Source organism: Homo sapiens, chromosome 1 (genome assembly GCF_000001405.40).
Source record: "Homo sapiens chromosome 1, GRCh38.p14 Primary Assembly".
In the NCBI taxonomy this organism is placed as follows: domain Eukaryota; kingdom Metazoa; phylum Chordata; class Mammalia; order Primates; family Hominidae; genus Homo; species Homo sapiens.
In genome coordinates this window covers 37,875,549-37,890,033 of record NC_000001.11, presented here as the reverse complement: position 1 = coordinate 37,890,033, position 14,485 = coordinate 37,875,549, and the positions used below count along the sequence as shown (strand labels likewise).

At 43.9% G+C, this 14,485-nt stretch overlaps 1 protein-coding gene and 1 pseudogene across 21 annotated transcripts in view; one reads left to right on the top strand and one right to left on the bottom strand.

Moving 5' to 3' along the window:
* Positions 1-14,485, top strand: part of INPP5B (inositol polyphosphate-5-phosphatase B) — an 86,361-nt gene that overhangs the window by 57,024 nt on the left and 14,852 nt on the right. For 15 of the 21 annotated variants that reach the window (XR_946643.3, XR_007059978.1, XR_007059977.1 and 12 more), the window contains 9 exons: positions 310-477; positions 1,690-1,791; positions 2,569-2,683; positions 3,030-3,146; positions 4,209-4,396; positions 7,116-7,227; positions 9,840-9,949; positions 11,711-11,846; positions 14,318-14,428. Coding sequence is in view for 13 of the 21 variants with exons in the window: in NM_001365825.1 (NP_001352754.1) it covers positions 310-477; positions 1,690-1,791; positions 2,569-2,683; positions 3,030-3,146; positions 4,209-4,396; positions 7,116-7,227; positions 9,840-9,949; positions 11,711-11,846; positions 14,318-14,428 (1,159 nt within the window). In the remaining 8 variants the exon portion in view is untranslated. Of the gene's footprint in view, positions 1-309; positions 478-1,689; positions 1,792-2,568; positions 2,684-3,029; positions 3,147-4,208; positions 4,397-6,301; positions 6,374-7,115; positions 7,228-9,839; positions 9,950-11,463; positions 11,847-14,317; positions 14,429-14,485 lie in introns of those variants that run through there. The other 6 variants (NR_158630.1, NR_158628.1, NR_158629.1 and 3 more) reach the window with 6 other exon arrangements.
* Positions 4,917-5,011, bottom strand: RNU6-584P (RNA, U6 small nuclear 584, pseudogene; annotated as a pseudogene).

Here is a 14,485-nt window from a genome sequence, read left to right as displayed (position 1 = left end):
GACACTGGGTTTCATTTTTCTCATTTAGAACTGAGGGAATTAGATTATCTTTAAGATGCCCCTCTGGTCTGAGATTCTGTGACTCTATTATTAGGAAAATCTCCAGACCAACATATTATACAATCAACAAAATATAAATTTACTTAATTCCACATAGAAATAGTGTTGTTTTAGTAGATAAATTTTACTTTGGCCTCCTTTAGTCTTCTGTGACTTAGATGCTTGTATAGGGGAACTTTTAGCTTTGTATTCATTCATTTTGCCATGGGGACTCATCCACATATGAAAAAAATACTTCTGTTTTTCCAGACAGAATAAATCCAAGTCCGAAATTACTGACATGGTTCGCTCCTCCACTATCACAGTGTCGGACAAGGCTCATATTTTATCCATGCAGAAGTTTGGACTGCGAGATACAATTGTGAAATCACATCTACTACAGAAAGAAGAGGATTACACCTATATCCAGAACTTCAGGTAGCTAACTGGGTTCTAGGATGTTTTCAGAGCAGAATGATCATTTGGCACTCTGGAATTTGAGCACTTCCTCCTATACCTGGATTTGGAGACATACTCTTCTATAGAATCTCTCCCCTCATTTTCAAAATGAGTGATTCCATGCATTCTTTATTAACAGGCATTTATTCTGTGCCCTTTCTAGGTGGGCACGGTGATAGGTGTGGTATAGTGGGAGTGACACGACTTGCAGATAGTTACAGAAATATTTGTGGAGACAAATGGGTACAGAAGAAGGAGCGCCATCCTGATTCTTTTATTTATTTATGTTTTATCTTTTTGAGACAAGGTCTCGCTTTGTTGCCCAGGCTGGAGTGCAGTGGTGCAGTCACAGCTCACTGTACCCTCAGCCTCCTGGGCCCAAGTAACCCTCCCACCTCAGCTGCTGGAGTAGCTGGTAATACACATGTGCTGATTTTTAAATTTTTGTAGAGACAGGGTCGCACTGTGTTGCCCACATGGGTCTCAAGCTCCTGGGCTTGGGCAATCCTCCCGCCTTGGCCTCCCAAATTGTTGAGATTATAAGTGTGAACCACCACACCTGGCCTCTTGATTCTTATGTATCCCTCCAAGGTTTTATACTCCCTTGGCATTCTGGGCCTTTGAAGAAAGTCATTTAAAATGAAATTACTAAAATGAAGTTAGCTGGTGTTTGGTAATCTTTTTAGGCAAGATTACTAAAAGCTAAATTAATAAAGGTTGTGGGATTCTGCTAGATCTTTCAAAATCGTTGCATTGGGACTATAAGATAAAATAACATTGTTTCTAGGGATACAAACTGTGAATTATGGTGAAGAAATAGCCTTTTGAATACTGGTGTTGCTTTCTTGCCAAAAGTAATTACCAAAGCACTTTTCATTTTTTCATTTCAGTAGTATATACAAGGCAAATAATTATGCAGATAATGCCTGGGTAATGGCTGTTTAAAGGAAGTGGGAATGTTCGGAGTAGGCCTATACTATTTGAAGTTGTTATCACAAAAGTAACAGATACCATGACAGACCGCAAGTCACTCCTTGGTGCTGCAGTCCTGGTCTAGGTTAGAAATGACATTTCTTATGTCTCAAAATGCCAGTCCACAGAGACGGAAACCAGCATAAATCAGCATAAAATGCTTTCTCCTGTTATCTCCATAGTGATTCGGAGTCACTAATTATTTCTCTTTGGTGACAGGTTTTTTGCGGGAACATACAATGTAAATGGGCAGTCCCCCAAAGAATGCCTCCGGCTGTGGCTGAGCAATGGTATCCAGGCCCCAGATGTCTATTGTGTAGGGTGAGTGCTTCTCTTCTAGTCCCCTCTCCATCTTCAAGCACACAGAGCTGTGGTTGAAGGATGGGTCTTCACAACAGGTGAAGGATTTGAAAAATGAACAGATGCCTGATAACAGCTGTTTCCCTGTTTGATGTTCTTCCTCATGGCAAGCAAATGTCTGCCACTATTAAAGTGGGGTGCTTGGCATTTAAGTGCTAGTATTTAATTTTTAGTGTAATCTTCTGTTAAAATCCTGAATTGCATCCTGAACTCAGTGCATCCTGAACTGAACTTTATTGCTTGGACATTCAATACATTTTTGGTTACAAAGCAAAACTATCTTCTGCCAGAGAAGAAAGGTTAGCTGAAGAAAGTCCCATCAGTTAGTCTTTTTTTTTTTTAATCTTCTCATCTCTATACTGGGCATTACTAGTGGGGAGGGGCAGCAAAGCTTGTATGGTATATTGAAAAGAACTAGAATTCATAATTTATGTAGACCAAGGTTTGAATCCCAGTTTGCCACTTGGTGCTTGTGTGAACTAGGGGTTACAGATGTAAAATAGGGACACTTCGAACTACTTCATAGGCTGGTCATGAAAAGAAAATGGGTTTTTGTTTGCAACAGCACCTGCAAAGTTCCTTGGCATTTAGTTCCTTGGCTCTAAATGTTTATTTTTTCCTCCTGAGGGTCCTGAAGTTTAGCTAGAAAGCTAGGGCTTATGCACCTAAACCAATCTGAGAATGTGTCATTTGCACATTACTTTTCTTTACTATCTAACTGGTTGCTTCTCAAAATAGGTTCCAGGAGCTTGATCTGAGTAAGGAAGCTTTTTTCTTTCACGATACCCCAAAGGAGGAAGAGTGGTTCAAAGCTGTGTCAGAGGGTCTTCATCCAGATGCCAAATATGCAAAGGTAAGAGAGGAGTCAGGGACCTCTTAATTTTATGTTGCCATGCAGGGAAATTCCAAGATCATTTTTCACCTTTTCCATGACCTTTATCTTAAGCCAGTCTTAATTATCCCGCAATTTTCATTTCCAGATCTTCCAGAAGGGGTGCCTCCGGGTGGGAAAGATGCAGGGTCTCGCCACTCGTAGGTTAGCACATAGCATGCTTGGTGAATTGAACAGATGATTACCTGTGTTCTAGTGTGGAGAAGGAGACACGTGAATACTCTCAGCCAGCTTCCAGACTATGTTTCCTTTGGGGTATTTATTCCTGTTTGCAATTTCTATTTAATGCCATGTCTCTCTTTTCCAGGTGAAGCTTATCCGACTGGTTGGGATTATGCTGCTGTTATATGTCAAACAGGAGCATGCAGCTTATATCTCAGAAGTGGAAGCCGAGACTGTGGGGACAGGAATCATGGGGAGGATGGTGAGTCCTTGGTTGGTTTGTTTGGCACATTGAGGACCTTAGCTCCTGAGGTATTGACCACTTCTGATGACACAGTGACTACACGTGTCCCAGTTTGAAGGTGCCAATATTCCAAGATGAATCATACCCTCAAGCAGGGCTCAGTCGAGCAAACTATTTAGAAACTGTTTTAGTGAACTACCTGCTGATTTAACCAATTAGCGCCTGTCCTCATATTCCCCAACACTAGAGCCTCCAGTTGATCCTCCCATTTCACCCATGAAGTATGTTGCAGAAACTATGCTGGGTCATTCAGAAAAACAAAGAATGCTGACAGTAGGTTTGCAATTTCCTCTTCTTATTGAGGCCATTAAAGTTCTGTTTTTAGGTTCTTCTGTGAGAGCTTAGCTTTGTGTTTTCAAAGGGTACCTATGGTTTGCCTGTGATTTAGTGAAAAGAACACTGGATTAAGGGAGCTAGGTTTTGGGGCTGGGTGTGGTGGCTCACACCTGTAATCCCAGCACTTTGGGAGGCTGAGGTGGGTGGATCACTTGAGGCCAGGAGTTCGAGAGAGTTAGGTTGTGGATTCAGCTTTGCCATTGACTGGCTAGTCATTCTGCCTTCTTTTTTTTTTTAATCTGTACAATATAGATAATACCACAGGATTATTATAAAGATTAAGACAAAACATTTTGAAAGTCTGTAGGGTTTTTTTTTTGTTTGTTTGTTTTTGAGATGGAGTCTCACTCTGTCTCCCAGGCTGGAGTGCAGTGGCGTGATCTCAGCTCACTGCAACCTCTCCCTCCCGCGTTCAACCAGTGCTCTGCCTCAGCCTCCCGAGTAGCTGGGATGACAGGCGCCTGCCACCACACCCAGCTAATTTTTGTATTTTTAGTAGAGACGGGGTTTCACCATCTTGGCCAGGCTGGTCTTGAACTCCTGACCTCATGATCCACCCGCCTCGGACTCCCAAAGTGCTGGGATTACAGGCGTGAGCCACCGTGCCCGGCCAGAAAGTTTGTAGGTTTAAGTGACTGACACAATTAAGTTTGAATTGGATTTCTTTGGGGATCCTTTCCATAGGGCAACAAGGGAGGCGTGGCGATCAGGTTCCAGTTCCACAACACCAGCATCTGCGTTGTGAATTCTCACTTGGCAGCCCACATTGAAGAGTATGAGAGGAGGAACCAGGACTATAAGGACATTTGTTCTCGAATGCAGTTTTGTCAGCCTGACCCAAGCCTTCCCCCTCTCACCATCAGCAACCATGAGTGAGTCTGGGCTTCCACCCCATGCGGTTCACCATGAGTACATAGAGTTGTGGGCTCTGTCTTTTCATGGGGAGATGCCTGGTGGTGGTTTCCTATTGCTGCAATGGTGGTAGCTCCCACCTCTTGGTTATACATGGATTATATCTCTTGAAAATATTTAGTTTCCTAACTTGCTATCTGGCAGATCTCTTGAGTCTTTCTCTTTTCTTACTTTTTTTTTTTTCGAGATGGAGTCGCGCTCTGTCGCCTAGGCTGGAGTACAGTGGCGTGATCTAGGCTCACTACAGGCTCCGCCTCCCAGGTTCATACCGTTCTCCTGCCTCAGCCTCCTGAGTAGCTGGGACTACAGGCGCCTGCCACCATGCCTGGCTAATTTTTTGTATTTTTTAGTGGAGACGGGGTTTCACTGTGTTAGCCAGGATGGTCTCAATCTCCTGACCTCATGATCCGCCCACCTCGGCCTCCCAGAGTGCTGGGATTACAGGCGTGAGCCACCGTGCCCGGCCTTCTTATTTTATTTTTAAATTTTTATTTGCATGTCATCCTTGCTCAGGGACTATGCTAATCTTCTCTGTATCATTTCAATTTTAGTATATGTGCTGCCAAAGCAAGCACACTCTAGAGTCTTTCTCAAGCATCATGTGTCCTTGGGAAGGTATAAGTTTTATTTATTTATATATTTATTTTTGAGACGGAGTCTTGCTCTGTCTCCCAGGCTGGAGTGCAGTGGCGCAATCTCGCCTCATCACAACCCCCACCTCCCAGTTCAAATGATTCTCCTGCCTCAGCCTCCCGAGTAGCTGAGACTACAGGTGCGTGCCACCAGGCCTGGATAATTTTTGTATTTTGAGTAGAGAGTGGGGTTTCACCATGTTGGCCAGGCTGGTCTCAAACTCCTGACCTCGTGATCCGCCCACCTCGGCCTCCCAAAGTGCTGGGATTACAGGCATGAGCCACCACGCCCGGCCATTTGTTTTTTCAGTATTTAATTTTATCAACATGTGTGAGAATCCCTGGCTGCTATAGTATAGCAGCCAGAAATAAGAAGAAAGTGAGGCTGGGTGCAGTAGTTCATGCCTGTTATCCCAGCATTTTAGGAGGCTGAGGTGGGGGGATCGATTGAGCCCGGGAGTTCAAGACTAGCCTGGGCAACATAGTAAGAACCTGTCTCTGAAAAAAATTTAAAAATTAGCTGGGTGTGATTCTGCATGCCTGTAATCCCAGCTACTCAGGAATCTGAGGCAGGAAGATAAGAGAAAGGGAAGGGGAGGGGAAAGACAAAGAGAGGAGAAAAGAAAAAAGAAAGGAAAGGAGAGGAGAAAGGAGAAGGAAAAGTTTATTTTGAGCAGAGAATATGACAAAACAGCAGTTGACGGCTATATTGTAGTCTGAGTTCTGCTTAAGATTTCTTTTTTTTAAAGATTTATTTTAATTTGGGTCTGCCTACCTCCAACATTATGAAGAAAACAACCAAAGAATGAGCATCTCAAACCCAGTTTTTAGAAGTATGTTTTAGGATTTTATTTGTCTGTTCTTTCCAGAGCATGTATAATTGAGAGTTGGACTACATTTGTTTGCCTCCACTTGGTCTTTTTTTCCTCTTAATTCAACTTTACAAAGATATAGTTGCAGCTTCTGAGAGCATCTTGTGCTCATTTTTGTTTCTTCTCTTTACTTTATCTCATTTATCTCTACAACTTCCTCTTTGTCTAAAGTCAAAGCCTTAGAATTTTAGACTTTATGATAACATACGCCACTTCTTTTATAAAGAGGAAGAAGCCACTGGGGCCGTGATATCTGCCAAGGAGTAAACAGAGTTAACGCCTCTTGTCCTGCCTGCCGAGGTGGAACTATCTGGAGCATTTTGGTGTTCTGGAAGCTGACAGGATGGTTTTTCTTCTCCAGGGAGCCTAGCAGGGAGTGTCTTGCAGCCGAGCTCTTCCATTCTGGTGAACCTGCAGCATCCTAGTTTGTGAGGTCGCAGCTTATGTGTCAGTTTGTCTGCTTTTAGTTTGTGGATGCATTAATTTTGGTGTGCGTGTACTGCTGTGCAGATTCTCTAATGACATGGTTGTTGGCTTCAGATACAGCAGTATTAGACTTAATGAGATGTACAGTGTCATCAGGGAGCCTTCAGTTAGCTTTTTCCCAAAGCAGCAGAAGGAATCAAACACCTTCTACACTCCACTCTGCAGTACAGAAAGAGCCAACCAATGATATACTGCTGGTTAAATCCAGGCTCCACTATAAAGTTTGAACTTTGTTTCAGAGGAACTCTGCTCTAGAAACAAAGGCTGAGAGTGTGTTTTGTGGGTTGCAGTATACACAGAGGCAGAGGTGGTATCGTGGCATCATCTGATTTGGGATCTCTGGGTGATTGGCGTGACTCTCAATTCTTGATTTTTTTTCCCTCTTCCCAGGAATGGGGTAAATTACTATCTTTTAGATCTTATTAGACTGTCTTTCCAACCTACAAGAATAAAATAGCTAAGGAGAACACAAGGCTGTTTATAATGAACTTGGACCAAGATAATTGAGCAAGCATCACATTAGATTATTAAATGGGATGGCGAGAGAAAAAAATTTTCCGAACAGTTGAGCCATTTTCCCACCCACCTCCCAAGAGGCTGAGCCTCAGGGGCCTTTGTCAGAAGCACCCTGGGTAGATCAGGTTAAAGTTCCTCCTAAACCCTGTTACCTTTGTGCTCTGTCCTCACAGTGTGATCTTGTGGCTGGGGGACCTCAACTACAGGATAGAAGAGCTGGATGTGGAAAAAGTGAAAAAGCTCATCGAAGAGAAGGACTTTCAAATGCTGTATGCATATGATCAGGTACAGATGGCCACCTGTGCCCTCTTCCAGCAGCTGTCCTCCACCATGAGGGCACAGAAAAGCCTGGCTTCCAAACTCGCAGCCTCTTCCTCCTTGGCTTGGGAGGTTTCCCTGAGTTCCTGATGTTGTCCAGTCATTTCTTCATTTCATCTGCATTTCCCTCTTCCATAGTTGTCTCCCCATTGGCTCTCTCCTGAAGCACCTTGTCTCCTGTGGGAGCAAGAGCATGTTCTCTCTCTCACCTTGTCATTCATTTATTCAAGAGGTCTGAAGTTAGGGCTAAAAGAGTACCAAGCTTCTATAAAGAAAGGACTTGGTATATTTAAGATGATGTAATAATTGTTTTTAGAATGAGCCTCCTTCTCCTCTGTGCTTCTCGTCACCACACTTCTCTAGTGTGAGTGACAGCTCTTCCCAAGTGGCTTTCCTCACTTTCTGTAGGAATCACTTCTGTAACCTGCTGTTCTCCATCATTGCTTGACGTAGCGTTTCCTTCTCAGAGCACTCGCTGTTTCACAGTACAAGAGAATCTGTTTCCCTGTGACTTTCTTCTGGCTACTTCTTTCAGTAGATTTCAGACCTGTTCAGGTGGTCAGGTTGTTCAGAATGTTAAAGTCCTTTTTTGTTGTTGTTGTTCTATATCCTCCCTTTTAGTAACCTTAGTATTGTCATTAGTCTAAATCTTTCTATTATCTTTTTTTTTTTTTTGAGACAGAGTCTTGCTCTGGCACCCAGGCTGGAGTGCAGTGTTGTGACCTCAGCTCGCTGCAACCTCTGCCTGCTGGGTTCAAGCAATTCTCCTGCCTCAACCTCCCAAGTAGTTGGGACTACAGGCACGTGCCAGTATGCCCGGCTAATTTTTTATATTTTTAGTAAAGACGGGGTTTCACCGTGCTGGCCAGGCTGGTCTCGAACTCCTGACCTCGTGATCCATCCACCTCAGCCTCCCAAAGCACTGGGATTACAGGCATGAGCCACCGCGCCCAGCCTCTATTATCTTTTTTTCCCCAGTGCAGATTAATTAAAGAAAAAGATTCTCAACTTAGTTATGTCTTTCTCTGTTTATCTCCTCTGTGTTCTGGTCTGAGGCATTCTAATTTCTCTTGTAGTTTGATACCCATCTCTACTTGCCTTCTTTTCTGGTCTTTCCTGAAGTAGTTGTACCCATTTTGTGTGTTATCTGCCTACCACATGGTTTTAAGCTCTATATGTAAGGGTCAGCTTACATTCATACCTACATTTTTACTATTTTCTGTTGCTTTTTAAATAGTTTTTTCAGGAATTTGGCAAGTAGTATCTACTAAATAGCTGACCATGTGCAATGTTAGAGCTGATAGTTCTTCACCAGTCCGTGTAGTGCCAAGTGTGGTGCTCCAGGGAAGAGGGAAGAGCACCTGTGGTTTTGATCTTGCTGAGAGTGTGATCTGGAAGGCGCTCCTAAAATTAATAGGAAGGATGCTAGCTGTTTTCCTAATGTGTCAGGCACTGTTTAAGTTGACAGTGAATCTTTCTAAAGACCCTATGAGGTAGATTCTATTATAAATCCAAAATTTACAGATGGAGAAACCAAGGCACAGAGCTTCCCCCAGTTCGCATAACTAATTTGACAACGCAGTTCTATCTTTATGTATATTTGGAGCAACTGTGCTACACAGATGAAGTGTTTGATACCTGGAAGAGAAAAACTATTAGTTTGTTAAGTGGTACCTAATCCTCTTAAAGATATCTCAGTAAGATGATACTCAGGCCCTTTGGGTGTAGCTATGCTCTTATGAAAGAGCCTTAGCCAGACACAATGGCTTGCACATGCAATCCCAACACTTTGGGAGACCAAGGCGGCAGGATCACTTGAGGCCAAGAGTTTGAGACCAGCCTAGGCAATATAGTGAGACCCTGCCTCTAAAAGATTTTTAAATATAGCTGTGTGGTGTTGCACAGCTGCAGTCCCAGCTACTTGGGAGGCTGAGGCAGGAGGATTGCCTGAGCCCAGGAGATGGAGGCTGTAGTGAGCTATGGTCGCACAATGGCACTCCAGCCTGGGTGACAGAGTGAGACTGAAAAATAAAAAACATTAGGCTAGGCGCTGTGGCTGACGCCTGTAATCCCAGCACTTTGGGAGGCCGAGGTGGGTGGATCACGTCAGGAGTTCGAGACCAGCCTTGCCAACATGGTGAAACTCTGTCTCTACTAAAAATACAAAAGTTAGCCAGGCGTGGTGGCATGCGCCTGTAATCCCAGCTACTCAGGAGACTGAGGCAGGAGAATCACTTTAACCTGGGAGGTGGAGGTTGCGGTGAGCCGAGATTGCGCCATTGCACTCCAGCCTGGGTGACAGAGCGAGACTCCGTCTCAAAATAAATAAATAAATAAATAAATAAATAAAACATTAAAAACTTAAAAAATAAAAAATAAAAACCATATACAGGCAAAAGAGTGGTCAGCTTGTCCACTTCCTAGGAGTTAGCTAACTTAAGATCTTACAGAATAACTTTCTTTTGGGGCTTTTTCCTTTGGGTTAGAGTTTGAATTCCAGATTGATATGCTTTTCTCCACTAATTCAAAGTTTGACCTTTTTATTCTGATATTTTTTTTTCTCCCATCCTTTTGTATAGCTGAAAATTCAGGTGGCCGCAAAGACTGTCTTTGAAGGCTTCACAGAGGGTGAGCTCACATTCCAGCCTACTTACAAGTATGATACGGGCTCTGACGACTGGGATACCAGGTAGGTCAGAGGTTGCTTCAAAGGGTTGAGCAAACGGAAACCCAGAAATTCTGGGAAGTACTTGCCCTTTTGGACCTAAGGAAGAATATATGCTTCCTGTGACTTTTTCCCTATGTTTTGCACTCTGATCAAACATTTTCTCTCAGTATCTGCTCATGAAGCAGGCTTCTTTCCCATGTATTAACTTTGTGACTGCCTTAGCCTTTGTTCCATAATTTTAATACTGGTTTACTTTTTAGCTGTGCCTAGGATGAGATGATTCCAACTAACTTAGCTGGTACTTGGACATTACACAGTAGTTAATATTTTTGTTTGTTTGTTTGTTTTGAGACAGAGTCTTGCTCTGTCATCCAGGCTAGGGTACAATGGCTGGATCTTGGCCCACTGCAACCCCTGCCTCCCGAGTTCAAGCGATTCTCCTGCCTCATCCTCCCAAGTAGCTAGGATTACAGGCATGTGCCACCAGGCCCAGCTAATTTTGTAGAGACAGGGTTTCACCATGTTGGCCAAGCTGGTCTTGAACTCCTGACCTCAAGTGATCCGCCTGCCTCAGCCTCCCAAAGTCAGTAGTTAATATTTTTATTAGTGCTTACCATGTGCCATGTACTATTTGATGCCCTTGTTATTTTCTCATTTAATCCTCAAGAACCTGTTGAAGTAGGTATGATTTATTAACCTCATTTTATGAGATTGGAAACTGAAGCATAGAAAAATTAAAGAGGCCCCCAAGCAGACAAGGGGTACAGGTAGGATTTGAACCCAGGCAGTGGGAATTCAGAGGCTGTTCTCTTAACTAGCATCTTTTTTTTTTTTTGAGACGGAGTCTCACTCTGTCGCCAGGCTGTAGTGCAGTGGCACAATCTCGGCTCACTGCAACCTCTGCCTCCCGGGTTCAAGCAATTCTCCTGCCTCAGCCTCCCGAGTAGCTGGGACTACAGGCACACACCACCATGCCCAGCTAATTTTTGTATTTTTAGTAGAGACGGGGTTTCACCATGTTGGCCAGGATGGTCTCAATCTCTTGACCTCATGACCTCCTGACCTCATGATCCCCCTGCCTTGGCCTCCCAAAGTGCTGGGATTACAGGCGTGAGCCACCGTGCCTGGCCTTAACCAAGATCTTTTAAAGACCATAGGCTGGGTGCGGTGGCTCACGCCTGTAATCCCAGCACTTTGGGAGGCCGAGGCGGGCAGATTGCCTGAGCTCAGGAGTTCAAGACCAGCCTGGGCAACATGGTGAAACCCCACCTCTACTAAAATACAAAAAATTAGCCAGCCATGGCGGTGCACACCTATAGTCCCAGCTATTCGGGAGGCTGAGGTAGGAGAATTGCTTGAACCTGGGAGGTGGAGGTTGCAGTGAGCTGAGATCACACCACTGCACTCCAGCCTGGGCGACAGAGCAAGACTCCATCTCTATAAAAATAAATAAATAAATAAATAAAAATAAAAAATAAAGACCATAGCATGCTTACTGTCAGATTGGTTTTTTAATTCTCTCCTGATTCTCATAGGAGGATAAAGATCAGAGAATCAGTCTGAACTCTGTTTTGGCTTTGAGCTTTCATGGTTGTTTTGGATGATACCCACAGGATACATGTTATCCCTTGGTGGGCCCGAATTGCTCTTGCTGCCTCAGATGACTTAGCCACATGGACATGAAGGCCCTGATTCATCACTCCCCACCTGAGCCAGGGCACTCGCCAGGCAGCGGGCACTGCTGTTTCTGTGAGTACTTCCAGTGTGGACTTTGCATTTCAGTGAGAAGTGCCGTGCTCCTGCCTGGTGTGATCGGATTCTCTGGAAAGGGAAGAACATCACTCAGCTGAGTTACCAGAGCCACATGGCCCTGAAGACCAGTGACCACAAGCCTGTCAGCTCAGTGTTTGACATCGGGGTAGGTGGCAGCTGGTACCTGTTGTAATCATTCTGGAGGGAATTGGCTTTCACAACTAAGACCATTTCTTGTCTTTCTGGTTTCTTCCTCTCCTTTTGAGAGGGAAGAAGCCCCTTTTAGGACAATTTAAAACAATTATTAACAACTTGGTTAATAATTGTTTTAGTATGCCTCTGCATTTTTCCTCATACATGGAAGTTCCCTTTTGCATTTTTGAACTGTCTCTTTGCAGACCTTTCTCTATGCGTTTATAAATGGGTGTGTCAGTATTGTGTATACAACATTGAGGATATTTTTCCTTTTTTGTAAAAGAGATCATATTATACATTTTGCTCTGAGGACATCTTTTTTTCCCTGACTGAATATGTCTTAGGAGATCTTTCCAGGACAGTGAAGGTAGAGCTTTCTTCTCATTATTTTTAAAGGTTGCAAAGTATTCCATAGTATGGATGAGCCATAATGTATGTATTGATGATCATAAAGTTATTTCCAAAGTTTTGCTATTATACACAGTGCTGTTGTGACCACCCTTCACATGTATGTTTGTGTATCAGTGTATTTCTATAGAATGAAATTATTAGAGATGAAATTAGCGGTTCAAATAAAAAATGTATTTTAAATTTATTAGATCTTGCTAAATTACCCTCACAACAGTTTTACCACTTTATACTTCTACCAACCATGTATAAGTTTATTTTCCCATACCCTTGTCAATATTGGGTTTTATCAGTCTTCAAAATTTTTGCCAACCCAATAAGCAGATATTTTATCATGTTAGATTACATTTCCCTGATTACCTATGAGATCAGCATCTTTTTCTTCCTTTCCTTTTTTTTTTTTTCTGTTGAGATGGAGTCTCGCTCTGTCACCCAGGCTGGAGTGCAGTGGCGTGATTTCAGCTTGCTGCAACCTCCGCCTCCCGGGTTCAAGCGATTCTCCTGCCTCAGCCTCCCAAGTAGCTGGGATTACAGGCACATTACACCACGTCTGGCTATTTTTTTGTATTTTTAGTAGAGATGGGGTTCGATCTCCTGCCCTCGTGATCCACCTGACTCGGCCTCCCAAAGTGCTGTGATTACAGGCATGAGCCACCGCTCCCAGCCTTTTCTTTTTGTTTTTTTTCAAAAGACACTGTTTTGTTCTGTCACCCAGGCTGGAGTGCAGTGATGCAGTGGCACAGTCACAGCGAACTGCGGCCTCAATCTGCTGGGCTTAAGCAATCCTCCCACATACATCAGCCTCCTCAGTAGGTAGGATTACAGGCATGCCTGTATGTGTGTGTCACCTTACCTGACTAATTTTTTTTTTGAGATGGAGTCTTGCTCTGTCACCCAGGCTGGAGTGCAGTGGCGCCATCTCGGCTCACTGCAAGCTCCGCCTCCCAGGTTCACGCCATTCTCCTGCCTCAGCCTCCCGAGTAGCTGGGACTACAGGCAGGCGCCCGCCACCACACCCGGCTAATGGTTTTTTTTTTTTTTTTTTTTGTATTTTTAGTAGAGACGGGGTTTCACCGTGTTAGCCAGGATGGTCTTGATCTCCTGACCTCGTGATATGCCCACCTCGGCATCCCAAAGTGCTGGGATTACTGGCGTGAGCCACCGGGCCCTTTTTTTTTTTTTTTTTTTTTTTTTTTTTAAAGAGACAGCATCTTGCTGTCTTGCCCAGACTGGTCTCAAGTGACTCCTGGGCTCAGGTGATCCTTCTGCCTTGGCTACCCCAAGTGCTGGGATTACAGGCATGAGCCTTCTCATTTATTTATTATCTATCTGTGGTGGCTCTTTATTATCATTACAATGCCTCACACCTGTAATCCCAGCACTTTGGGAGGCTGAGGTGGGTGGATTGCTTGAGCTCAGGAGTTCAAGACCAGCCTGGGCAACATGGCAAAACCCCTCATCTCTACAAAAAGTAAAAAAATTAGCTGGGCATGATGGCTTGTGTCTGTGGTCTCAGCTACTTGGGGGGCTGAGGTAGGAGCATCACTTGAACCCAGAAGGCGGAGGTTGCAGTGAGCCAAGATCACTCTATTGTACTCCAGCCTGGGTGACAGCAAGACCTTGTTGCAAAAAAAAAAAAAAAACAAACTTGAGAAACACTGCTTTAAATCAAAGCCTTAGAAAAAGTTCTCACTGCTGGCCTGTTGGTGGCAGCAAGCAAAATAGAGCTAGGTACTGGGCAAGCATTTTTCTGCCCTGGTCCTAAGACCTGGCAGAACTAACTGCTAACCATGCTTTCACTTCCATGTATTTTTTTCTGGTAATCAGGAAGCAGATGCCTGTACCACAAGCTTTGCCTCTGGCAGATCCTTCTAAGTCAATTGTTAATGGAGTTCATTAATTAACTAAATCTATAGCCTTTGTTTTCTGTGTTGCTATCAACTGCTATTTCCCAGTGCTGTGAATGCCGTCTATACTGAGAAAGAGGAAATGGGCAGAAGCCAAGGTACTCAGTCTCTGATGTTTCCCTTTCAGGTGAGGGTCGTAAATGACGAGCTTTACCGGAAGACACTGGAGGAAATTGTTCGCTCCCTGGATAAGATGGAAAATGCCAACATTCCTTCTGTGTCCCTGTCCAAGCGAGAGGTAGGAAGGACATGTTAAGAATATTAGCATTGGGCTCAGGCCGGGTGCAGTGGCTCA